The sequence below is a fragment of the Homo sapiens genome, chromosome 8 (assembly GCF_000001405.40).
Source record: "Homo sapiens chromosome 8, GRCh38.p14 Primary Assembly".
Taxonomy (NCBI): domain Eukaryota; kingdom Metazoa; phylum Chordata; class Mammalia; order Primates; family Hominidae; genus Homo; species Homo sapiens.
In genome coordinates, this window is record NC_000008.11 from 35,504,938 (window position 1) to 35,532,176 (window position 27,239).

A 27,239-nucleotide genomic window follows, 5' to 3' on the forward strand; every position below is an offset into this window, starting at 1 on the left:
CCCCCCAAAACAGCCACTGTTCAAGACGAGGTAAAGTATTCATGGAAACTTCATATGACTTGAGTCAAATTACTTGCAAACACTAAAAGAGTATACTTGGATTGTTTGTAGCACAAAGGATAAGTATGAGAGGTGATGTATACCCCATACCCTGATGTGATTATTATACATCACATGCCTGTATCAAAATCTCACGTAATCAAGAAATATATACACCTACTCTGTACCCACAAAAATCAAAAATTAAAGAGAAATACTTGTAAATTATGATGACCTGTTTTCTAAATTTTGTACATTTTTATAATTTTGGGATAAATGTGGCAAGGCTTAATGCAGTAATCCCCAAAATTATCCCAAAATAAATGGTCCCCCAAATTATGGGATTACTTTGGAGATACGAAAAAGAAAATAGGTCTTAGTACAATTGAATGGCCACTCTTCTTGCCTGGCTTGAAGAAACTAAATCAGTTCTTGAAAAAATAGCTTGAGGCTCATGCAGCTTTGGAAACTCCTGACAGTAGAAAGGCTAGCATTGAGCATCAGATGTGAGTGGAATTAATTTGAGGCCAGGTCTGTGGTAAGGGTGTAGATGATCAAGATAGGATTGGGAGGTTTGTGGCAAGGGTTTATGTAAATAATAAACTCAAAGATGTGGATACTAGGAGGGTGAGCAAAAGCAATTGCAGTGAGTGGGGAAATGCCTGAGATGGCAGGAAGCAGATGGAAAACATCAGCATTACTGCAAAATTACCAGTATGTTTGAGTTCCTCCAACTTTTCATTAGGGGCTGTCGAGATGGTTTTATTTTTAAACCGAAGCCTATTTCCCCGCTTTGAGATACACTAAGTCAGGAAAGTGATTTTGCACAGTGGTTGGCTCTGGAGCCGGACTGCCTTTGATCAGACTCTAGCTTTCCTGCTCCCTACTGGGTGAATTAAGCAGGTTGCTTAACCTCTCTGTGCTATTTCCTAACAACCTTAGAGGGTTATTGTGATAATGAAATAATACACCGAAATATTTCACATTGTACTTGACACTGAGAAATTCCTTGACGTGTGTTTAGCTATTGTCATTATTTTCAATTATTTTTCTTGCTTTTAAGCTTGAAGTGGTGGGAAAAAGCCCTGATTCAGATGATCTAGACGATATTTATTATTTGATGGAAAGTAGGTTATAAATTCTGTAGTTCAGTGAGGATATTAGAAACCCAGGTACTTTTGATCTTAATATTCGGTGATCCTCAATGTGTTGACTATACATACAAGCTGGCTTCACTCATGGAGGCAAGATAGCTGCGGTAGCTTCTGCCATCACATTCAGACACAACAGTGTTCAGAAGAGAAAAATAAACACTTTTCTTCTTGGATACATCTTTTTAAGTCCCAGAGTCCCCCAATATACTGTCATTCACATTTCAGTGGTCAGAATGGTTTCTTCTGCCTATTACTTGTATGGCAAATGGAATTATCCTGATTGGCATATGAAATTGCAGGGGCTTGATAAAGAATGTACTAGATAGAGCAGCTCCCTTTAAAAGGAGGAAGAAATTCAGCAACAGTAGTATTCACTAGAGGACCAGGTATAATCATTCAGTGTCAGAGACAAAGAATTTGAGGACTGAAGATTTAAACAGTTAGCCTGAGGTCACAGAGTTAGGGAATGATTAGGCAGTGTTTGAACTGAAGTATTTCGGAATCTAAAGTCACTGTACCTTGCAACATGATTCATGGACTTTTTGCTTTGGGTTGGGACATATATCTAGGAGTCTGAGAGCACTGATTGAATACTTTTAGGGAATGTAATAAAAGGAAGGATTCAGAACAGGACAGCTGTGTCCAGCATTCACCAGTGATTGTGTAGGCATCTAAGGACTGCGTGGAAAAGCCCTGTGAATCTCAAGTGGGACAGACGTGGCTTGGTGGGTCAAGACTTTTGGAAAAGGGCAAGAGGGCTGTCAAACTCGAGGAGCAAATGATACCGGCCATGTTGCTTTAATGATTTATTTCATAATTTTCTGGCTTTTAAAAATTATGTTTGACAAACAAATCTACCTTCATTGAAGGTGTTTTCTTAGAGGTAAGTTCTTTTTGCAGGCCTCCATCAGGGCTTTTCTTTTTTTTTTTTTTTTTTTTTTTTGAGACGGAGTCTCGCTCTGTCGCCCAGGCTGGAGTGCAGTGGCGGGATCTCGGCTCACTGCAAGCTCCGCCTCCCGGGTTCACGCCATTCTCCTGCCTCAGCCTCCCAAGTAGCTGGGACTACAGGCGCCCGCCACTACGCCCGGCTAAATTTTTGTATTTTTAGTAGAGACGGGGTTTCACCGTTTTAGCCAGGATGGTCTCGATTTCCTGACCTCGTGATCCGCCCGCCTCGGCCTCCCAAAGTGCTGGGATTACAGGCGTGAGCCACCGCGCCGGCCCAGGGCTTTTCTTATCAGTTCCTCTACACAGACCCACGATATGGCTGAAATACTGTGGTTATTGGTGCCATTAGAGGCAGTTTATCTTTACCCTGTAAGTAAGAATCACTTCATGGCAAAGGTCCTAGAGGCAATGACAACACAGCGTGGTGGATAGAGAAATTTTCGTGGGTCTTGGTTATTGATAAAAGGAGAGTAAACAGGTGAAGTCATGGAGATAGAGAGCAGAAGGATGGTTACCAAAGGCTGGGAAGAGTAGTGGGGTGATGGGGGAGGTAAAGGGGAGGTGGGGATGGTTAATGGGTAAAAAAAATAGAATGTGCAAATAAGGCCTAGTATTTGATAGCACAATAGTAACTATATAGTTAATAATTTAATTGTACATTTTAAAATAACTGTAAGAGTATAATTGGATTGTTTGTACCCTAAGGATAAATGCTTGAGGGGATGGATACCCCATTTTCTATGATGTGATTATTACACAGTACATTCCTGGATCAAAACATCTCATGTTCCCTGTAAGTATACATACCTACTATATGCCATAAAAATTAAAAATTATTTTTTTAAAAAAATTAAGAGGAAAAAAAGCATACCAAGAAACCTTGCTTTTGGAGCTGAGTAGGTTGCAAGGGCTGTGGTTTAGTTGGGACCATGCTGGACCTGGAGTTGGAAGCCCTCTCACTGTCACACATTGGTCCTATCATGACAGTCATGGCACTTAAATTTTCTTGTTCAGGAAAATGAATGTAATAACAACAATCCCAAGGCTGTTGCACAAAATGAAGGGGTGAATATATGTGGAAGTGCTTTGAAAGTCCAAAAGCTCCCTCTAGGAACTTCTTGGCACTCTGATATTCCGTTACTTCACTGTTTGGATTTCAGTGCATTCTTCATACAGTGACCTTGGGGAGTCTTTTGTTTGTTTTGTTTAAGTCTATGATTGTTTTCAGATACAGCTGGGAAGAAAAGTTAAAATTCTGACCTAGGTCTAGATTATTTTAATGTTTTAAATTATCCTCATCTGCTGAGGGCCTGACATTTTGTCTTTATGAGAGATCACTGGGAGTTTCCTAAGAAGAAAGACTGTATTTCTCTTCAGAGACTAGTGAGAGACAAAGGCAGGGATCACTTGCATCAAGCTACCGCCTTTGAATCTTTTCTCATAATTGCTAAATGGGCAAGTCCAGAGTGAGCCCTCTAAAAAGACAAATTGTACATTTTTTGAAGCACTGCTGGGAGGTAGAAAGTGACCTCATATCTCTTCCAGCTTTCTCTTCAAAAAAGAAGATTTCAGAGAGTGAAGTGGCAGAGTGGCAGAAAACAAATTTGGATAGATTGGCAGGTGGCACCAGGGCAGGGACTATGCCTTTTGGAATGCCAGCTAAGCACTAAGCCCTTTAATTACACACACTGGTGATAAGCTCGGCAGAGCTGAGAGGGAGAGCACTGGAAAATAAAGATGTAGAGCTTCGTTTGCAGTCTAGAAATGAACTGGAGGTATTTGGCAGAATTCTAGCATCTTTAGAAAAGGAAATGTAGCAGTGTGCATGCCTCAGGTTTGATTTAGTGAGCATTTTGTCAAAACTTAAATAGTTTGAATTTATTATTAATAGCTAAGGTCTAAGGTAAATGAAAAATTACTTATTTTCTTTGATTCTTGCTATGACTCTTCAAGGTTGATTTTGGAAACTTAATAGATAAGGAGGAGAGGGAGGCTTGAGGAGGCTAAGGAACTTTAATTGTGTGCCCGGGGGGCCAAGTGTTCCCTTTCCCCAGTATTTTCTACTATGTCATAGAATAAAGGTCTGTACTCAGAAATTGTGTAGACACGGAGAAATAGTATATGGTGGGGTACAGGGCCAGAGGGAGTATCAGAATCACAGGAATAGCACGAGTTATTCATTTCCTGTGCACCAATCAAAGAAAATAGGTTTACTATTGTAGCAAAGTAGTAGAGATAAGGGCAAGAGGTCAGGCTTCAGCTCTCCATGGGATGTAGGGGTACATGCCAGGACCAAGAAGCAGCAAGGGAGGAAAGGGTACAAATTGCTAGAGCCCTGCAGTCAGGAAGAGAGCACAGGGTCAAATATAGATCCCTGTACAAATTTTTAGCTTATCTTGCTGGGAGAACAAGAATCTCCTCTCCTCTCTTCTCTTCTCTCCTTCTTTTCTTTCTGAGACCCTGGGCCATACTACATGCTGAATTTCTTCCCCTGCATTGGATACTTTTCCCATCCTTTCTCACTGTGAGCATATAGGAAACAGAACAAAACAGAAACAGTGGGGTCTTCTTATTCTCTTCTTACCACAACACAGAATACTTCTGTGACCTCAGATATTCGTGGGTTTTTCCCCACACCAAGCAACTTTCTGGCAGATTCTCCAGCAGACACTTGGTGTCCTGTAATTCAGATCCCACAGGTTGAAGGCTTAGTTCCACACAATTGTCTCCACTTCAGATGCCAACTGAAAGCCTGACTATATCCTGGGGTTCTCACAACCCCTCCTCAAGTTTGATTAATTTGCTAGGATGAATCACAGAGCTTAAGGAAACCCTTACTTAGGTTTGCTGGTTATTATAAAGACTATTAGAAATGATACAGGTGAATGCCAGATGGCCATGATATGGGGGAGGGGCTGCAGAGCTTTCGTGCCCTCTTTGGGTGCACCATCATTCAAGAACCTCCAGTGTCCAGCAACCTGGAGGCTACCAGAATCCAGTCCTTTGGGGTTTTAATGGAAACTTCATTACTAGGCATTTTTCATTACATCCTTGGCTAATGGTGATTCACTCAACCTTCATTCCCTCTCTCCTCCCCCTTACCTGGAGTTCAGGAGGTGGAGCTGAAAGTCACAACATTCTGTTGAAGCCTTGGTCTTGGTCTTTCCAGTGACCAGCCCCCACCCTGGAGCTACCTAGGGGGTAGCAGTTACCAGTCATCTTTTTTATATCCAAAAAAAAAAAAAAAAAAAAAACACTTTGGAGATTCCCAGGATATTAGGAGTTGTGTGCCAAGAAAAGGGAACAAAGACCAAATATGTATTTCACAGTATCACACACATCGTTGCCTATGTTGAAATAGATATTATCAGTTGTTGCATGTGTTTGCACCTGTGATCAGTTATCACCTGCTGCCTCAACTTTTTTTAGCGACAATAAGGCTTCATTGCTGAGGTTGTAATAAATAGCCTCTTACCACCTCTGCCTCATGAGGTGGCCCTGAGACCAAGAAATATTTGATTCCACCATATCCTCACCAGTTAGCTCAGGATGCACTGGGAAGCTCAGTACAAACAGCCTTATTCAACATCTCAGCTTGGCCAGACAAGTCAGGCCTGCTGTCTATAAGTTCGAGTCAATCCACTTGATTTTCTAAGGAGGAAGCTTTCTACATTTTTTTGTCCTGGGTAGTATACACAAGTGAAGCAAAAGCTCCCTGCTGCCTTCACTTGCCAGGAAAATGGATGTTTTCAGAGATGACACATATAAATCAATGTCTGGTATTTATTTAATGTCACACCTAAATTATTAATTCACTCTTGACAGGAACAAATGTACAGTAAAATTTACTAATTTGGACTAATTGAGGGAAAGGCCAATTATATAGCAAAGCCTCCATTAATTGGCCTCCAACTAAGAGGACCTCAATTAATCATTTTGTTGTTGTTGGTCTTCCCTCAAGTATAAGAGATTTGCATCTCTTAGGAAAATCAAGCTTTCAGGGACTTTCCTCTTCAAAAGAGATTTCTAGATTATACCTTAAGATCTATGTAAGAGCAGTTCTTCTTTCACTGATTCTTCCCATACTTAGCACCATGATGGGCTGTGAAATCCTGAGATGCCAAGAAAATACTGAAATAAGGCCTTGTGTAAATACAATGAACATGATTTCTGGCTAACCTGTGGTAATTTAGGACCAGTATATAAAATCATGTTAATAATTCTGTGTGCACTCTGAAATAAGCATTTTATGTGATTTAGGTCTTAATTTTTATAGCTGGTGCAGTGGTGTGTTTCTATAGTCCTAGCCACTTAGGAGGCTCAGGTGGGAGGATCTCTTGAGCCCAGGAATTCAAGGCCAGCCTGACCAATGTAGAGAGTTCCCACCTCTAAGATTAAAAAAAAAAAAAAAAAAAAAGGTCTTAATTTTCACAATCCCCTTCCAGGAGGAAGTTGTATGTCTATTCCTATGTTAAATAGAAGAAAACAAAGGTCGAGAGGAGTTAAGTAAATTGATGAAGGCCTCACAATAATAAGTGGTAGGAAGGATCTAATCCAGGGTTATCCAATCTTTTGGCTTTTCTGGGCCACATTGAAAGAAGAAGAATTGTCTTGGGCCACACAAAAAATAGATTAACAATAGCTGATGAGCTAAAAAAAAAATTAAAAAAAAAAACCCTCAAAGTTTTAAGAAAGTTTATGAATTTGTGTTGGGCTACGTTCAAAGCCGTCCTGGGCTGCATGTAGCCACATGGAGTAGGTTGGATGTGCTTGATCTAAACTCAAGCTGTCTGACTCTAAAACTGATATACTTAACCTTGACCAGGACCTTCTGAGTGCCTGGCTATTCGAAGGTGGAGATGGTCTTGACAGGCAATGGTTGCCTCCACATCAGATCTGGTCTAGCAGAAGATGGGTGATATGTTAGTAGGATTCAAAAATTGAAATGATGTTGAGATATTTAAATTGTATTCCACCTCTAAGATACTGAGGTACTATGGTTCTAACCAGAATACACCCCCAATCAAAACACCTCACTTCGTTAGACTATCAACTAATGGAGGTTATACTACAGTAAAACACATTAAAAGTATAAAGCATAAGTTCAAAAGTTTACTTTTCCCTTTCATATACTAATGCAAGTAAGGTTAAGGGTTATCTGAGCTGGATGCAGTGGCTCATGCCTGTAATCCCAGCACTTTGGTGGGCAGAGGCAAAAGGATTACTTGAGGTCAAGAGTTCAAGACAAGCCTGAGCAACATGGTGAGACCCTGTCTCTACAAGACATTATAAAATTAGCCAGGCACGTGCTTATATAGTCTTAGCTACTCAGGAGGCTGAGGCAGGAGGATCTCTTGAGTCTGAGAGTTCAAGGCTAATAGTGAGCCATATATATATATATATATATATATATATATATATATATATATATCTGCATAGATTATATATTCAGATATGTATGTATATATATATATATATATATATATATATATCTGAATAGATTACTAAATGGAGATCCTTGGCTACCATGTAGAATGGAGGTGTCTGACATTCTTTGAAAACAGAGGTCTTTATCTAGCTTCAACAGTCTGCTCCTCCCCTGGTCTTGCATACATTTTAAGTTTGCTTGGTGAACTTACCCGTTTTAGAAAATACAGAGATGTATCATTCTAAGGTATTATAATATATAATTAGTAGCTATACATTAAGGAGGTTTTGTTATAAAAATTTATAAATCAAATTATGGAGATGAGGTTGTAGAAGTGTTTGTGGAGTATAGGGTCCCACAAATGGGGTCTCACTATATTACCCAAACTGGCCTTGACCTCCGGACCTCAAGCAATCTGCCTACCTCAGCCTCCCAATGTGCTGGGATTACAGATGTGAGCCACCATGCCTGGCTTTGCCCCTTTATTCTCATTTCTTCCTCTTCTCTGTAGCTTCCTACCTGCCCTCTCACGCCTTCCCTCCACACTCCCATGCACACCTTGCAGCACACTTGCTTTCTTTGGTTTTTCTAGTATTCCAGACAGGCTCCCACCTCTGGGACTTCGCACTTGCTATTCTGGGTTTGACATGTTCTTCCCAAAATAACCATGTGCATTGCTTCCTCATCTCCTTTGCCCTTTGCCTTCTTGGACCCTCCTTTTTTTTTTTTTTTTTTCCCCTGAGACAGAGTCTTGCTCTATCACCGAGGCTGAAGTGCAATGGTGCAGTCTCGGCTCACTGCAACCTCCACCTCCCAGGTTCAAGTGATTCTCCTGCCTCAGCATCCCAAGTAGCTGGGATTACAGGCACGTGCCACCATGCCTGGCTGATTTTTTTGCATTTAGTAGAGGCAGGGTTTCATCATGTTGGTCAGGCTGGTCTCAAACTCCTGACCTCAGTTGATCCACCTGCCTCTGCCTCCCAAGGTGCTGGGATTACAGGAGTGAGCCACCATGCCCGGCCGGGCCCTTCCTCAACAAGCTATTCTAAGTTGCAATTCTCTCTCATCCAACATTCCTAGTTCTTCTCCCCTGCTTTATTTTTCCCTACAGCACTTACTTGTCATCTAACATACCATAGACTTGTTAAAAATGAGTTCCTTGTTCCTTCCAAGAATGTGAGCTACTTGAGGGGCAAGGATTTTGTCTCCTTTTTTTGCTGAATGTTCCAAACTCTGATCACAGAGTCTTGTATGGAGAAAGCACCAAAGATATTGTTGAATGGGAATGATGTGTGTATAATGGTTGTTTACCCATTAAACAGGTTCTTTTAAAATCCATGAAAAGTTTGCTTTCTAAAACCAAATGATGCAGTAAACTGGCAATTTTGTTTACATCCCTTATTTGTTTAACATTTTTAAGCTATTGCAAACATACACTTCACCAATAGATTTTCTAGAATTCCAGCTAACTAAATTAGAATCAATTGGTGATCATTATGCACACAAGCCATGTAAGAAAACCATTGGTGAAAAGGATGGAAAAGTCCTCCAAGTGAAGAAAAAGATTTAATGAAGTTGTTGAATGTGGCATTTCAAGGCAGAACCCTTCTACCTGGCGTGACCCTCAGCTGAGTCCATTTTGCATTTCTGCAGCCACGTGAATACTTGACATGCAGAATCCCTATGCAGGAAAGCATAGCTGAGCAGTTCATGTGCAACACTGCCAACCCAGATTGCTAGTGTGCAACCTTCTCTCCCTCATTAACTTGCTGCAAACCCTGTCAGCCTCCCATGCCATCACATACCCATCTGCCAGACTCTTACACAACTAGGGAGTGAGCAAATGAGGGCTTTTGAGAGAAAACTTTAAAAGAACCATTATCAGGAATGCCAAGTGATCTATCTCTGCATGGGAGAGCAGATGGAAGTTGCTGCAACCAACCAGGAAGAGTCAAAGCCCAGCGCATTTCTAGGCTGGCTTGTGTACAACATTCCAATCAAAGCAGATAATCTCGCAGTTGCTAGAAATTAGGTAACGATAGAAAATGGCCTTTTAGTCTTTATATCCTGACCCAAGAGATGCTACTAACAAAGTATAGCTTTGAACATTGCTTTATGTTGTTTGAATTTAGCATTTCTCTGGCTTTTTGTGTCTGAAAATATTTTCTCTTTCCTTAGTGGCAATTCAAACAAAAAGAAATCAACATTTTAAAATTCACATAAGCAGGAGTTAGTTTACAGTTGGAGACTTTGAGCACACTGCTTTTGTGTGATAATATTTGAAATTTATTTCCACAAGTTATTGCACATTCATTTTTGGAGTTTTCATTGCAGAAAATTGCCAGAAGGAATGGATTTTGTCTTCTTCAGCTGGCAGAACAATTTTCCACCTGTCGCCCAAATATTTGATGAGAAGGATTATGTTGCCGGCTCTGAAAGTTTATACTGTGGATCCTTTGAAAGTGAAAGGGTCTAATGAAACTACTACCTGATATCAGAGTCCAGCTTGCTAAACTGTCTATGAAGCTGTGGATGGATTTCCGGTGGTTAGGGCAATTTCTGAAAGACTAGCTTCAGTGACACAAACACACTCACATAGTTCTGAACCTGCAGCATGGCAAATGATGTTCTTCACCTTTATGTTGTAACTGTTTTCTTGTATTCGGCAAAACTTTTGTGGCCTTACCAAAGATCTGAATTAATTGCCTGAAATTATTGTTGTTCATCTTCTTGGTAAATGGAACCAAAAACAGCATTAGTGCATGGGTATAGATGAAATTGCCATTTGATTTCAGGTTCAAGTGATTTACTGTCTCCATTGAGTTTAATATTTCTCTCTAGTTTATTTAGGTATATAGACAGCATAGTAAATACAATCAACAAAATACAGATTTAGGGCTGGGTGTGGTGGCTCACGCCTGTAATCCCAGCACTTTGGGAGACCGAGGTGGGCGAATCACTTGAGGTCAGGAGTTCGAGACCAGCCTGGCCAACATGGTGAAACCTCGTCTCTACTAAAAATACAAAAATTAGCTGGATGTGGTGGTGTGCACCTGTAATCCCAGCTACTTGGGAGGCTGAGGCAGGAGAATCACTTGAACCTGGGAGGTGGAAGTTGCAGTGAGCCAAGATCGTGCCACTGCACTGCAGCCTGGGCAACAAAATGAGACTCTGTCTCAAAAAACAAACAAAAACAGATTTTAAAAGTCCATATGTAAGGGCGGCAACCTTTTAAACTGTCAGAATCAATATAAAACTATTTTTTCCTTGTTTCTCTGACTGCTTTATGGATATAATAAGTAATAATAATATTGCTGCTATCAAAAGAATTTTTCTGAAGTGTAGACTTTACCATGCCATAATAAGACCCCTTCAGCTGACTCAGAGAAGGGGCTAAAATTCTTGGACTGGCATTCGTGTCCCTGGATAATGACACCCTGACTTAGTTTTTCTATCTTAGTTTTTCCTACCCCATCAACTGTTCAAGCCCGTCAAACTGAACTATTGTCTCCTGCCAGTTCCTGTCTCATTACCTAATTCCTATGCTTTTTTTTATGTCATTTATCATCCTACTTATTTATCACACTTAAATATTGCCTACCCATTGTGAGCCAGCACAAATTCCACTTTCTTGAAAAAGGCTTTCATGATATATGCAGCAAGAAATAATGTCTTATTTTCCAGTCTTGGACCACTTCATAGACATTGTTTATGGAATTTTTCATGTTATATTTTTGATTCCCATCAGTTGCATGCAAATCTGGAATAAAACAGATTTGATCATGAAGAGCATTTTGTTGTGTTGTTGTTAATGTGGAAATAACAGCCTTGCTCCAAACTGAATTGCCTGTTTTTCTCCTGAAAATCTGTTCTGGTTTGCACCAGACGTTTGTACTTCTCACAGCTCGTAAGTGTCACCTGGCTTGTCATTTGGTGGTGGTCCACCACTAGCACAGCCACGGCAGTATGTTGAGGGCTTTGACAATCTGCTAGAAGCCACTGTGTTGATCGTAATCTTTCCTACATCATGCCATCAATAGATGGAAGCCAAACAGCCTTTGTACTGGATTTGCTCAAGACGTAGAATGAAAAAACTGATAGTAAATTTTCCAACTTTCCTCCTAACACTTTCTCTACTATCTCTCCCAAATTCATCTACCCAGATCTCCCCCTTCAACCTCAGTCTCTGGGTTCCTTCTTCCTTCCTGTATCCAGCACAAGCCCTACAGATACCTTTATTTGCTTATTTTGTGCTTCCCAAGAAGAGCTTTACCATTCTGGGTAATTGGCAGTGTCCAAGTGTATGAGGAATCCCAGGTTGAACATGCCACGTCTTATTTTACTTCAGTGTCATTTTTACTTGAAAACACAGAGCCTTTGTTTTTGTTAACTAGATATATCATAAAGCAATAATCTAAATTTGCCTGAACTTTAAGTTGAAATGGGTAAGACAAACGTCTTATTTGAGGTCATGCTGTTCTCTTCATTGACATTCTTAAAAACCTGCATTCATTCATTCATTTCTGCTGTTACAATCATTTTGGTACAAGAGTTTTTAAAGCACTGATTGAAGACTTTGATGTTGTCCAGCCTTTTGGTAGTTGAGAGTTTCTTCCCTCTCTTTCATCCTTTCCAAGATCCTCCCTTTAGGCCTCCCCTCCCCAAAGCCACATATACTGCCCCATTTTCAGACACGTGCCTCTCTTTAACTTTTCTAAGACATCTGGAATGTGTAGAGAGTACCTAGACTGTCATTCAATCGTGTTCAAAGAATTTGGGAACCAGGCATATGGGTGGAAAAACTAGAAAGGGTAGGAACCAATTATCCTTGCTGGTGGGATGGCCTGAAACAAAGCAAATCTTAACATGAAGAACAACGGAAAATAGGCAATATTTTTGTCATGGTTTCCTTTTGCTCTTAAAGGGAGGAAAGTGAGACTGGGGATGGACCCATAATTAGTAGGGTATAGTTTACCTATTAGTATGTAGACCTATGCTGTTCTGGAGCCAGAAAAGATTTAAAAGAGAGATCACTATCCTCTTGATGTTAGTGTGGAGTCCTCGATGCCATGAGCTTGCAGAGCAGTTGAGGTGAGTGCCCAATTTTCAGAGTTTCATAAAGCATAATGCAAAGTATGAATTACTCACCCAATGCATTTCTTTGACTTGGCTGGAGCTTTTTAAATTCAGCAGGGTTATACTGGTAATGATGGATGTCTGAGTTTGTTCAGTGCTGCCATAACAAAGTACCATGGACTGGGTAGCTTACAAACAACAGAAATTTATTTCTTGTAGTTCTGGAGCTTGGGAAGTCCAAGATCAAAGTGCTAGCAGTTTCAGTGTCTGGTGCAGGACCACTTCCTCATAGACAGCTGTCTTCTAACTGTAACATCACATAGTGGAAGGAACAAGGGATCTCACAGGTGCCCCTTTCATAAGGGCACTAGTCTCATTCATGAAGGCAGAGCACTTCCCGGAGGCCCCCATCCCCTCTTATTATCACCTTTGGGATTAAGATTTCAACATGAATTTTGGGGGGGGCATAAACATTGTTGCAATGGATTAATCAGAGATGTGGAAAACTTTTTGCCTGAGAACTTTTTAAAATACTGAAAAAAAAAGCACTTGTGTATCTTTAACCTTGACAACAATTATTTATTATCAAGTAGCACTGTTTTTCATATCCACTAATGTATTTTTAACAAGAGAAATAAGCATTATTGATAACATTAAAGTGCCTTTTCTTTCACACCTCTTTCCACTTTCTTTTCCTTCCCCATTTTCTTAAAAGCAGCTCCTCTCAGTGATTTAATATCCTTCCATTTTATTTATATATCTTAGCATACTTCTATGTACTTGTAATACATATTGCATTGCTTTATGACTATGATTTATAAAAATTTATGAAAATAGAACCCTACAGAATATATCCTTCTGCAACATTTTTTTATGCAACATAAATTGAATTTACATATGTTGGTAAATATGATGGTAGATAGATCGATGGTCCCTTCTTACTGCAGTATAGTATTCTATTCTGCAAATATGTCATCTTTGATTTATTAGATCTACTATTGGTAGACAGGTATATTGATTTCAGTTTTTCTCTGGAAAACATGTAGAACATATTTATGCATGTTTTCTTTGGCTCATGTTCTGATAGAAATTTCTATAGGTCTCCAATTATTAAAAGCTTTAGGAAGAACAGTTATTTAAATAATGCTGTTTGGCAGACAGAATCCTTTACAACATGGACTCTCTAGGAAGACGTGGTCAAAGGAATTGGGTATCACTGATGTAGTAGTGCACCTCTCTGCCTCTGAACAGGGCTAAATTTAACTCATCTTAGAAATTCTCTTTACCTTTAGAAAGAATACTAGAGTAGGAGTCCACAGATCCCTTTGGTTACATATTTGTGTCTCAGATCACAAGAGGTGGGGAATTTTTAACAACATTTGACCTAAAATCCTAGTTCTATAATTGAAGCCTCATTCCCTCTTGCTTTCTCCAGAAGTAATGAAGAACAGCTACAAACTTGCTTCTACTCTTAAAATAACTTCTTCTAATCCCATACGATGATTTAAAGTACTTTTTTTTCCTTTAGCCTGCATGAGTCTAGTCTCTTTAGCCTTTTTTCTGGGGTTTCCTCTTTTAGGTCATTTGTATAGTTCTAATCAATTCTTTTTCAGATTTATCTATATCTTGTTTAGTTTTTAGGGCTTAAAACTAAAATAATATGATCTTATAATGGTCTTTCTTGTATGGGGCTGACATGATTACCTCCCAGTTTTTATATATGACTTTCTGTACTTATGCATACATATGTATATATCTATCCCTTTATTCAGGAAATATATATTATGTCCCATCTGCTTAGCAGGCCTCATACATTTATAACATACCCACATGCGCATAAGCAGTACCGAGTAGCTGGTTTATATTTAGTATGTGGCCCACTAGTTTGACCAGATATGCCTCTTGATATGTTGTACAAAGGCATATTGGCTATATAGGTATTTATTTAGTAGAATGATTAAGAGCACAGGGTGGGGGATTATTTAAAGTATACCAAAAGGTATATAAAGAATGTTCATAGCAGAATTATTTCAAATAGCAAAACAAAGTAAACAACCTAAATATCCATTGACAGATTGAATAAGTAAATCACGATATTTTCACATAATAGTAGAATACTATAATGAAAATGCAAAAACTCAAAATACATGCATTGACAAAGGTGAACTGTAAAAACAACATTGAGTTCAGAAAAGCAATCAGAAGAATATGAATGGCTAAGAAACATGGAAAAAAAAAGTTCAACATCCTTAGCCTTGAGGGAAATCAAAACTGTACTGAGATACTACTTCACACCCACTAGGATGGCTATAATCAAAAAGACAGATGATAATAAGTGTTTGCAAGGATGTGGAGAAAGTGGAACCCTCATACATTGCTGGTGGAAATGTAGAATGGTACAGGCACTTTGGAAGAGACTTTGGCTCTTCTTCAAAGTTAACCATAGAGCTGCCATATGACCCCCCCAATTTTACACCTAGGTTATACTCTACCCAAGAGAAATGAAACACATGTTCATGTAAAATCTCGTTCATGAAGAGACATAGCAGAATTATCCCTAATAGATAAAATGTCCCAAATGCCTATCCACTGATGAATGAAAAAGCCAAGAGTAGAATAGCCAGACACGAAATATTATTTGTCAATATAAAGAAATGAAGCATCAAGATATGCTACAACATCGATAAACCTTGAAAATACTATGCTAAGTGAAAGAGGCCAGTCGCAAATGGTCACATTTTATGGTTCCATTTATATGAAATACCCAAGGTAGGCAAATCCATAGAGACAGAAAATAGATTGATGGTTGCCAAGGGCTGGAATAAGGAAGAGTGGGGAACAACTGTTAATGGGTTCAGGATTTCTTTTGGGGGTGATGAAAATGTTCTAAATTTAGATTGTGGTGGTAGTTGTACAGCTCTGTGACTATATTAGAACCATTGAATTGTACATTTTAAATCGGTGAATTATATGGTATGTGGGTTATATATCAGATGTTTTTATAAGATGCAATCAGAAGAATGTATGTATTCTGCTGCAGGTTTTATAAAGTTCAAAACCAATCAGCTAAACAGTATGTTGTCTAGGGTAGTATGTATACCCATGTGATAAAACCATGAACATATAAAGGAGGGAGAGATCTGAAAAAGAAAGAAAAAAAATCCAACCCAAAGTGGTGGTCATTACCATTAAGTTTCACATGAGGTTCATTATAGAACCACTGTGCTGGGGAAGTCCCATTTTCTTAGACTGAGTGATGGATTTATTGTCCTGCTTTGTTTCTAATATTTACAATTCATTTCTAATTTTAATAAATGCTTATTACTAAAAGTTTTGTTTGTATAAAATACTTCATAATGAAATTCCATACAGCCTTCTCTTTTGTTTTGAAGGAGATGGAGCAATTGACATTAGTGGAACAGTGTATGTTTATATTGTTCCTTTTTCACTCAAGAGACTGCTAGGGATAGACAAAGGGTGATGTCATGGAGAGACTGTTCATTGCTTTCTAAGCCTAGTACATTAATGAGTCTTTGGTTGTACAAATATGAAATGTTTTGGATTAGAAAAAAAGAGGGGATGCATTTTTTTTCTAAAAATGTAAAGTTTTTAAAAACTTTTTTGAAAGGGAGGAGGCAGAGGAGGAATAGACGAGCATGAGAGGTGAGAGAAAATAACAAAGAAGAAGACGAGTGGGCATATTACTTTTATGAAAATGAATATCTGATACTCTATGTAAATGATGTTTTCCTACCACTTAAATGGCTCCCAGTACTAAGGATGTTAAATTAATCCTGCTATTCAACAAAGACTTTGTGTAATAAGTAAGTCAGGACATTTTGATGTTTATATTTTTAGGAAATCATGAAAAGGACCATGTTTTAAGAGTGGTTGATGTGTGACAGAGAAACAGTGTCTCAAATAACATAGAAAGATAATTGATTAACTAATGTAGAAGTGCATAAATTAAAAACAAAAACAAAACAGGAGTCCTCAAAATGCTGAGGCCTCTAGGCTTCTGCCTTGTTAAGCACTCTGTTGAGGTTACAAGCAGTTAGTTGATCCTAATGCTGTAATTTCCAGCCCTGTGATGGATTGTTTGGTGGGAATTTCAATTGAATCTTAAAAGATCATATGACCCTGGGTTAGAAGATTATTCTTCCTTCCGAAGTGTTCCTAGTGACCTCTTTTATTTGTGTTTCTATTTTTAGATACCCACTTTTCAAAATTGTTAAAAGGTTACATGATATTTTAAGTAGCTGCTCTAAGGTTGTTACACGCTTAGCTAAATTGGTTCTCATCAGCATTAGCACCTTAATGAACACATTCTCTATAGCCCAGCCTTAATCAGAACGTTTTCATAAATTAGAGCAATGATCAGCTATCAGGCTTTATGTGCCTCCCTCAGATACTGAACTTAACATCCCCGGAGGAACAGTCCAAACCACATGGTTGTTTGTGCATCCAAAGTCTTAGATTTCATAACACCATGCTCCCCATCAACAAACATGACACACAACACCCACTGCCCATCCTACTATCTTCATAAAATATCTGGTGATTCTAAAATTAACATTTATATTTTTTTATTTTACTCTGGGAGTATTTTCGGGATAAATTCTGTTACAATGCTTTAGATAACTGGTGTCATCCTTGGATGTCTAAAATCTGATTTGGGGAATCACTGTTCTAATCAGTTGTGCACCCACTTAGCAGTAATCTGATCTAAACTCAATTCTCCTAGTCTTTGATGAGCTCTCATGTGAAGCCAAATCTAAATTCCCTCAAAGATAAATGTTTCATTTGCCCTTTTTCTGATCAGAGGAGCCCTCACAGAACTCCAAGGGTTTATGAAGATGATTACAATGAGCTTGTGATTTCAATCAATTGCTGAAATGCCTTGGGATATTTTTACCCTGTGAACTGTTTTTGCAAAGAGAGGAAGTTTCATCTAGAAGAAAAATCATTTAAGGCAACTTTGGGTTTAAGTGTCAGATTTTTTCACTGGAATCTCCATGCTTTATGGTAGAAAGAACTCTTAAGAGCTGTGTTTCTAGAACACTAACCTCAATTGTACTATTAACTACTTCAGTGAACCTAGACAAATTATAAGTATCTAAGAAGATACTCATCTTGTTTATAAAATGTGAAACTGGATGATCTCTACTATCTCTTCTAAGCCTTAATATGTAATGATTCCAAAAGTAGATTTGGACCCCTCTCTTCCTTTCTGCTTTTTCCATAATAAAGACATCCCTAATATTCATCTAAAGTTTTTTTCTTAAGCACTGTTTTCCTCAACCCACAACATAATATGATTTGTACCTTGCTCTGAAAACTTGCTTGAATAGCCTGATAACAGTATTTGCCAATCAATGATTATCTTTGATATCTAACAATATAATGAAGCCTATTGCATGGATCTAGATGTATTTCTTTCTTCAACTGTGTGATTTAGGAACTATTTTTTTTTTAAATAATTACAGTGGTGCCATTGTATTAGTTTTTTTTTTTTTTTTGAGACTGGGTCTTGTTCTGTCACCTAGACTGAGTGCAGTGGTGCACTCATGGCTCACTGCAGCCTCAATATCCAGGACCAAAGTGATCCTCCTAACTCAGCCTCTCAGGTGGCTAGAACTACAGGCACACACCACCACGTCTAGCTAACTTTTTATTTTTTGTAGAGATTGGGGTGTTACTATGTTGCCCAGGCTGGTCTCGAATTCCTGGACATAAGCGTTCTTCCCACTTCGACCTCCCAAAGTGCTAGGATTACAGGCATGAGCCACCATGCCTGGCCTGTTGTATTAGTTAATCTGCAACATTAATTCACAATTTTAAAAAGCAACTATGCAAAGATACCCTGGTATAAGTAGATAATTTTCAAGAAATGGCAGACCTGATTATTCCCTTGAAGGTCATGAGGATAAAATCTAGTTGAAGTTTCAGAGCAACCTAAAATTCCATTTGTATCCTCTGAAATTAGTAATGTGCTCTTTTTTTTTTTTTTTTTTTTGATGGTTAAAAAAATTTGGGTTTTATTGTTTTTGCTAAATAATACTAAAAAAAAAATTTCATTTTGAAGGCAGGGCTTGAATTATTTAATTTGATCCATTTATTTAATTAAAAAAAAAAGGAAGGGGAAAGAGATCATGGCCAAAAAAATAGTAGTTAACCCCCACCCCACCCCCAAAGCTCTAGCCAGTCATGTGAGCATCACCCACATCCCACTCAGTGCCTGATATTCGGATGGTGGCATACTCTGCCCCAGGAGACTGCCTGAAGGCACGGGGCAATGGGTGCCAATTTTAGCTCTCAGCAGGTTAGTCAACCAGACAAACTGGTGGGCTAAAGTCCAGAAATTCTTTCCAGGTTTTCTGCTCATTGGCTGAGCACATACAAACTGTCATAAGCCTGTAAAATTTAAGGGGAGTTGGGGTGGGGCGTAAGAGCAAAAGGACAGCAGGAGAAGAGAAATTACGGGTCACCCAAGTTTTTCCTGGGCTAGTGGCTCTGGATATAGATTTAAAGAGAGGTCAGAGTAAATGGACTCCAGGTTTCTTATCAAAGAAAACTATCCCTCAATGAGGAGCTGAGATGTGCCATGCAAGAGAGTTCTTCCTGCAGAGGCACAGGAGAAAGGGCAGCTGACTCTCTCATGTGGAGAGAGTGGCGAGGAAGGTCTTCTAGTACCATGAAGTAAGACAGGCAGAGGGAGAATCCTGAGGTTTGGGCCAAATGTGAGACTGGTACACACACAGTTAAAGACTAAAAAGCCATCAGGAACCCTCAAAGCCAAATTCTATCTGCACACTGGCTCTACAAAGTTCGCAGCAAGAATCTCTTGCACCAAGTCAAGTTAGTGGCCTGGCTATGATGGATGGTGGAGAGGGCAATACATTTTTATTTTCAGAGGGATGAGGTGGGAAGAACAGCCATGATCTAGTAAAAAGAGACCTGCAAGAAGCAGAAAATATTTAGAGAACATTTTAATATATATTTTCATATATATATTTAAAGTTAAGAAAAATAAAACTAATTCAAGCCATGCCCTGTGCAAAAAAAAAAAAAAAGAAAAAAGAAAAAAGAAAAAAAAAGGAAAAGAAAACAAAAATTTAAAGTGAGACGTTTGCTGCTCTGGTCTCAACTTAAGAATCACAGTCAGCTTGTTACTTTTATTTTGGAAGAAAAGATGTAAAAGTTTCTTTCAATCATTCAGAAGGCAAGTGTAGCCACTTATAAAAACAGAATGGCAGGAACAAACTAGGAAAGGAAAGTCAGAAGTAAAGGGCAGAGTGGGAAAATAATTTTCAAAAATAAAATTAACAAGGTGACTGTTCCAGAAGAGGGCTGTGAAAAGGACATGGTGGACCGAAGTCTGTTAGTCAAGTAATGATTCAACTTTTAAATTATTCTCTTGTTCTTTTTTGTTGGGTGTTTTGTTTGTTCAAGTCTAAGATTTGGAAATGCTGACCCTTTGTTAAGAGCCAACAGGACATATAGGATCCCTTCCCTCCCCCGGCCTGCCTCCGCTGAAGCCACCACCAGCGCCTCCTTGGCTGGATGCTGGAAGAGTCCTCCATGTGTACGGACTCAGGATGACAGGGCAGCCTCCTTCTGTGGTTGCTGGGCTTGTGAACGTTGCAGTATCTTTTGGCTTTCCACGTCTCTAAAATGTTTTTCAACTATTTTGCGTACATGGCTCAGTGCACTCCCCTCTTTGCCTTTACAGTTTTCCACTTGATATGGGGGTGTAATAACAACTTCTTCCATGACTACGATGTTTTTTTCTTGCCATTTACAGTCTTTAATGGTCTTGTGAATGGTCTGGAAGAGCTGCTGGCCCTCTAGAGAGACACCAGCACTGATTGCATAGGCCTGGCTCAGCTTCTCCTCCTTCTCTGTCCGTGCTTTGCTGGCAAGCTTACTAACATTGAGTGAAGCTAGGGGAGGAGGGGTTTCTGTTCGGTCATTAATTATTTCCACTTCTGAAACATACTGTAAGTTTATGAGCAAGATGTCTGCATGGTTGGGCTTTCCACTGGAAGAGGGACATTTTAAAGCCAGCATTTTGGATTGGTAGTCAAAGGCTACCACCTCGCCCTGCAGCCGCTGCTCCTGGCACGTCCGGCACGACACCTGGCTCCCAACGCTGAAGTACTCGCCCGGAGGAGCCGCCATCTTGGGAGTGCCGTAATGTGCTCTTTTAACTAACTTTTTTGTTTTAATTATACAGAAAAGCAATGTGTTACTTCAAAGGCATTTAGTCATAGTAAAATCCAGTTTAGCTATTAAAAAAGAAAATTTTCTTTTCTCTCCCTGCACTGGAGTGTTCATAAAGAGTCTACAAATATGGTCCCTTATTTTGTGTGTGTCCCAAATATAACTGGTGTAATTATCTTCATATTTGTCTCACTAAGCATTACATTCTTCTGCGATTCACTGCAGTGTGACACTGGCCCAGCAGTGAAATCATTCTCTGTGATACAAAGGGAAAAAACATGATTCTGTTCTAGTAGTTTTACGTTTAAGTCTATGGTTACCAATTGAGAACATTGCTTTGATGTATAATTAATCTCACTGAAATCTGGTGTTTTCTACTTTCTCATAGAAAACTAGTAATCTGCATTTGCGACAGGCCCAGACATTCCACCAAACCCAGGGTCCACATTTATCTTGAAGGCTTGCATTGTTCCCTGCAGTCCTGGGGAGAGCAGCACACTCTCCAGAAAGCGGCTCCCTGAGTCCTTGGACACTGCAGCTATAATAATAGTGGGAACTCACCTCATCCATCTCGCCTGTTCTCCACACAGTCACTGCCTCAAAAGCATTTAGTACCTTGAAAGCCAGGCAGATTCCTAGATCAGTGGCCTCTTCCACCTGAGTTGTTGTAGTTGTCATAATCGTTTTATCTGGGATTTGTGTGGGTTAGAGGTAGGGACTACATTCACAGGGTAAAATGGAAGACCTGTGAATTGTTTCTTTTTTTTCTTTTTGTTTTTTTGTTTCTGCAATGCTAACATTTTAATCTCTTCAAAATTATTTCCAAGCACTTTAAATATTGAGAGATAAAGAGTTCATTGTTTTCCGCATCTTGAGAAAATCTATTTTCTGCCATCTAAGAAATGAGATCAATTAACCAGGAGGGATACATGCTTATCTCATATATGCTAGTTTCCTCCGAGTATTCAAATGCCTCCCCTCATTAAAAAAAAAATGGCCTAGAAATACCCAGTGTGTTTCAGTAAGTGTCATCCTTTGATATATCTGATCTTTGGGTACCCTCTGTGACTCCATCTTCTGCAGGCACACGGTCTTCCTCCTTGACCCTGTCTATAATGAATGTGTAAATGACTGTTTGTATCCATCATGGGTCAAAACTTTCTGTGCCTTTGCTTCTGCTCTCATCACATTTTATAAGGGGGTTCTCTATGTAATGGAATGTCACTTAGAGAAAAGATTTTTTAAAAAATGACACGTATCGCTTGTACTCTGATACATCAAATGGTAAAAACTGTAGGCAGGCTTTTTGGTTATTTTTTTTTTTTCTCCTTGTTCCAAACTGAGACTTTTATGATTTTCCCTAATCCTTTTACCTTCAAGTACTTCCAGATTGATTTCCTTGTCTGGCCAGTGCTGTATACAGCAGGTGATCCAGTAGGGATTGTTTTTATTTGAATTATTTTTATGTGATAATAATCATTGTATTCCAGAGCTCCTTCCTGAAAGATGGGCATCTGTCGCAGTCAGTTCAGACCACTATAACAAAAATTCTGTAGACCGAGTGGCTTAAACAAGAGAAACTTATTGCTCAAAGTTCTTAGGGCTAAGAAGTCCATGACAAAAGTACTGGAAGATTCTGTGTCTGGTGAGAGCCAGCTTCCTTGTTAGCAGATGGCTGTTTCTTCTTTGTGCTCTCACATTAGGGAGAGCAGAATGAAAAGAAGCTCTCCTGTTTCTCCTGTTTTCTTTTTTTTTCTTTTTGACTCTCACTCTGTCACCCAGGCTGGAGTGCAGTGGCATGATCTCGACTCACTGCAACCTCTGCTTCCTGGGTTCAAGCGATTCTCCTGTCTCAGCCTTCTCAGTATCTAGGACTACAGGCATATACTACCACAACCAACTAATTTTTATATTTTTAGTAGAGATGGGATTTCACCATATTGGCCAGACTGGTCTCAAACTCCTGACCTCAGGTGATCTGCCCTCAATGTACTGGGATTACAGGCGTGAGCCACCACTCTTGGCCTCTCCTGTTTCTTCTAAGGGTACTAGTCCTGTTCATATGGTCACTACTCTCATAACCTAATTAATTTATAAGGGCCCCACCTCCTAACAGCAGCGAATTGAGCATCAGAATTTCAACATTTTAATTTGGCAGTGGGAAGGGGAAGGATACAATATTTAATCATTAACAATGCCCAGTTAAGTTTATCATGAATTCTAGAAACAGCTGGTTTTTTTTTTTTTTTTTTTTTTATACTTTAAGTTTTAGGGTACATGTGCACATTGTGCAGGTTAGTTACATATGTATACATGTGCCATGCTGGTGTGCTGCACCCACTAACTCGTCATCTAGCATTAGGTATATCTCCCAATGCTATCCCTCCCCGCTCCCCCCACCCCACCACAGTCCCCAGAGTGTGATATTCCCCTTCCTGTGTCCATGTGATCTCATTGTTCAATTCTCACCTATGAGTGAGAATATGCAGTGTTTGGTTTTTTGTTCTTGCGATAGTTTACTGAGAATGATGATTTCCAATTTCATCCATGTCCCTACAAAGGACACAAACTCATCATTTTTTATGGCTGCATAGTACTCTGTGGTGTATATGTGCCACATTTTCTTAATCCAGTCTATCATTGTTGGACATTTGGGTTGGTTCCAAGTCTTTGCTATTGTGAATAATGCCGCAATAAACATACGTGTGCATGTGTCTTTATAGCAGCATGATTTATAGTCATTTGGGTATATACCCAGTAATGGGATGGCTGGGTCAAATGGTATTTCTAGTTCTAGATCCCTGAGGAATCGCCACACTGACTTCCACAATGGTTGAACTAGTTTACAGTCCCACCAACAGTGTAAAAGTGTTCTTATTTCTCCACATCCTCTCCAGCACCTGTTGTTTCCTGACTTTTTAATGATTGCCATTCTAACTGGTGTGAGATGGTATCTCATTGTGGTTTTGATTTGCATTTCTCTGATGGCCAGTGATGATGAGCATTTTTTCATGTGTTTTTTTGGCTGCATAAATGTCTTCTTTTGAGAAGTGTCTGTTCATGTCCTTCGCCCACTTTTTGATGGGGTTGTTTGTTTTTTTCTTGTAAATTTGTTTGAGTTCATTGTAGATTCTGGATATTAGCCCTTTGTCAGATGAGTAGGTTGCGAAAATTTTCTCCCATTTTGTAGGTTGCCTGTTCACTCTGATGGTAGTTTCTTTTGCTGTGCAGAAGCTCTTTAGTTTAATTAGATCCCATTTGTCAATTTTGGCTTTTGTTGCCATTGCTTTTGGTGTTTTGGACATGAAGTCCTTGCCCATGCCTACGTCCTGAATGGTAATGCCTAGGTTTTCTTCTAGGGTTTTTATGGTTTTAGGTCTAACGTTTAAGTCTTTAATCCATCTTGAATTGATTTTTGTGTAAGGTGTAAGGAAGGGATCCAGTTTCAGCTTTCTACATATGGCTAGCCAGTTTTCCCAGCACCATTTATTAAATAGGGAATCCTTTCCCCATTGCTTGTTTTTCTCAGGTTTGTCAAAGATCAGATAGTTGTAGATATGCGGCGTTATTTCTGAGGGCTCTGTTCTGTTCCATTGATCTATATCTCTGTTTTGGTACCAGTACTATGCTGTTTTGGTTACTGTAGACTTGTAGTATAGTTTGAAGTCAGGTAGTGTGATGCCTCCAGCTTTGTTCTTTTGGCTTAGGATTGACTTGGCGATGCGGGCTCTTTTTTGGTTCCATATGAACTTTAAAGTAGTTTTTTCCAATTCTGTGAAGAAAGTCATTGGTAGCTTGATGGGGATGGCATTGAATCTGTAAATTACCTTGGGCAGTATGGCCATTTTCATGATATTGATTCTTCCTACCCATGAGCATGGAATGTTCTTCCATTTGTTTGTATCCTCTTTTATTTCCTTGAGCAGTGGTTTGTAGTTCTCCTTGAAGAGGTCCTTCACATCCCTTGTAAGTTGGATTCCTAGGTATTTTATTCTCTTTGAAGCAATTGTGAATGGGAGTTCACTCATGATTTGGCTGTTTGTCTGTTGTTGGTGTATAAGAATGCTTGTGATTTTTGTACATTGATTTTGTATCCTGAGACTTTGCTGAAGTTGCTTATCAGCTTAAGGAGATTTTGGGCTGAGACAATGGGGTTTTCTATATATACAATCATGTCATCTGCAAACAGGGACAATTTGACTTCCTCTTTTCCTAATTGAATACCCTTTATTTCCTTCTCCTGCCTGATTGCCCTGGCCAGAACTTCCAACACTATGTTGAATAGGAGTGGTGAGAGAGGGCATCCCTGTCTTGTGCTAGTTTTCAAAGGGAATGCTTCCAGTTTTTGTCCATTCAATATGATATTGGCTGTGGGTTTGTCATAGATAGCTCTTATTATTTTGAAATATGTCCCATCAATACCTAATTTATTGAGAGTTTTTAGCATGAAGGGTTGTTGAATTTTGTCAAAGGCTTTTTCTGCATCTATTGAGATAATCATGTGGTTTTTGTCTTTGGCTCTGTTTATATGCTGGATTACATTTATTGATTTGCGTATATTGAACCAGCCTTGCATCCCAGGGATGAAGCCCACTTGATCATGGTGGATAAGCTTTTTGATGTGCTGCTGGATTCGTTTTGCCAGTATTTTATTGAGGATTTTTGCATCAATGTTCATCAAGGATATTGGTCTAAAATTCTCTTTTTTGGTTGTGTCTCTGCCCGGCTTTGGTATCAGAATGATGCTGGCCTCATAAAATGAGTTAGGGAGGATTCCCTCTTTTTCTATTGATTGGAATAGTTTCAGAAGGAATGGTACCAGTTCCTCCTTGTACCTCTGGTAGAATTCGGCTGTGAATCCATCTGGTCCTGGACTCTTTTTGGTTGGTAAACTATTGATTATTGCCACAATTTCAGCTCCTGTTATTGGTCTATTCAGAGATTCAACTTCTTCCTGGTTTAGTCTTGGGAGAGTGTATGTGTCAAGGAATTTATCCATTTCTTCTAGATTTTCTAGTTTATTTGCATAGAGGTGTTTGTAATATTCTCTGATGGTAGTTTGTATTTCTGTGGGATTGGTGGTGATATCCCCTTTATCATTTTTTATTGTGTCTATTTGATTCTTCTCTCTTTTTTTCTTTATTAGTCTTGCTAGTGGTCTATCAATTTTGTTGATCCTTTCAAAAAACCAGCTCCTGGATTCATTGATTTTTTGAAGGTTTTTTGTGTCTCTATTTCCTTCAGTTCTGCTCTGATTTTAGTTATTTCTTGCCTTCTGCTAGCTTTTGAATGTGTTTGCTCTTGCTTTTCTAGTTCTTTTAATTGTGATGTTAGGGTGTCAATTTTGGATCTTTCCTGCTTTCTCTTGTGGGCATTTAGTGCTATAAATTTCCCTCTACACACTGCTTTGAATGCTTCCCAGAGATTCTGGTATGTTGTGTCTTTGTTCTCGTTGGTTTCAAAGAACATCTTTATTTCTGCCTTCATTTCGTTATGTACCCAGTAGTCATTCAGGAGCAGGTTGTTCAGTTTCCATGTAGTTGAGCGGCTTTGAGTGAGATTCTTAATCCTGAGTTCTAGTTTGATTGCACTGTGGTCTGAGAGATAGTTTGTTATAATTTCTGTTCTTTTACATTTGCTGAGGAGAGCTTTACTTCCAACTATGTGGTCAATTTTGGAATAGGTGTGGTGTGGTGCTGAAAAAAATGTATATTCTGTTGATTTGGGGTGGAGAGTTCTGTAGATGTCTATTAGGTCCACTTGGTGCAGAGCTGAGTTCAATTCCTGGGTATCCTTGTTGACTTTCTGTCTCGTTGATCTGTCTAATGTTGACAGTGGGGTGTTAAAGTCTCCCATTATTAATGTGTGGGAGTCTAAGTCTCTTTGTAGGTCACTCAGGACTTGCTTTATGAATCTGGGTGCTCCTGTATTGGGTGCATATATATTTAGGATAGTTAGCTCTTCTTGTTGAATTGATCCCTTTACCATTATGTAATGGCCTTCTTTGTCTCTTTTGATCTTTGTTGGTTTAAAGTCTGTTTTATCAGAGACTAGGATTGCAACCCCTGCCTTTTTTTGTTTTCCATTTGCTTGGTAGATCTTCCTCCATCCTTTTATTTTGAGCCTATATGTGTCTCTGCACGTGAGATGGGTTTCCTGAATACAGCACACTGATGGGTCTTGACTCTTTATCCAATTTGCCAGTCTGTGTCTTTTAATTGGAGCATTTAGTCCATTTACATTTAAAGTTAATATTGTTATGTGTGAATTTGATCTTGTCATTATGATGTTAGCTGGTTATTTTGCTCGTTAGTTGATGCAGTTTCTTCCTAGTCTCGATGGTCTTTACATTTTGGCATGATTTTGCAGCG

The 27,239-nt window shown here is 39.1% G+C and overlaps 1 protein-coding gene and 1 pseudogene across 17 annotated transcripts in view; one reads left to right on the forward strand and one right to left on the reverse strand.

Annotated features, from left to right (window-relative positions):
* The window catches only part of UNC5D (unc-5 netrin receptor D), a 561,066-nt gene that overhangs the window by 269,463 nt on the left and 264,364 nt on the right, over positions 1–27,239 (forward strand). The gene's annotated exons all lie outside the window — the stretch shown is intronic.
* On the reverse strand, positions 18,661–20,837 carry LSM12P1 (LSM12 pseudogene 1; annotated as a pseudogene).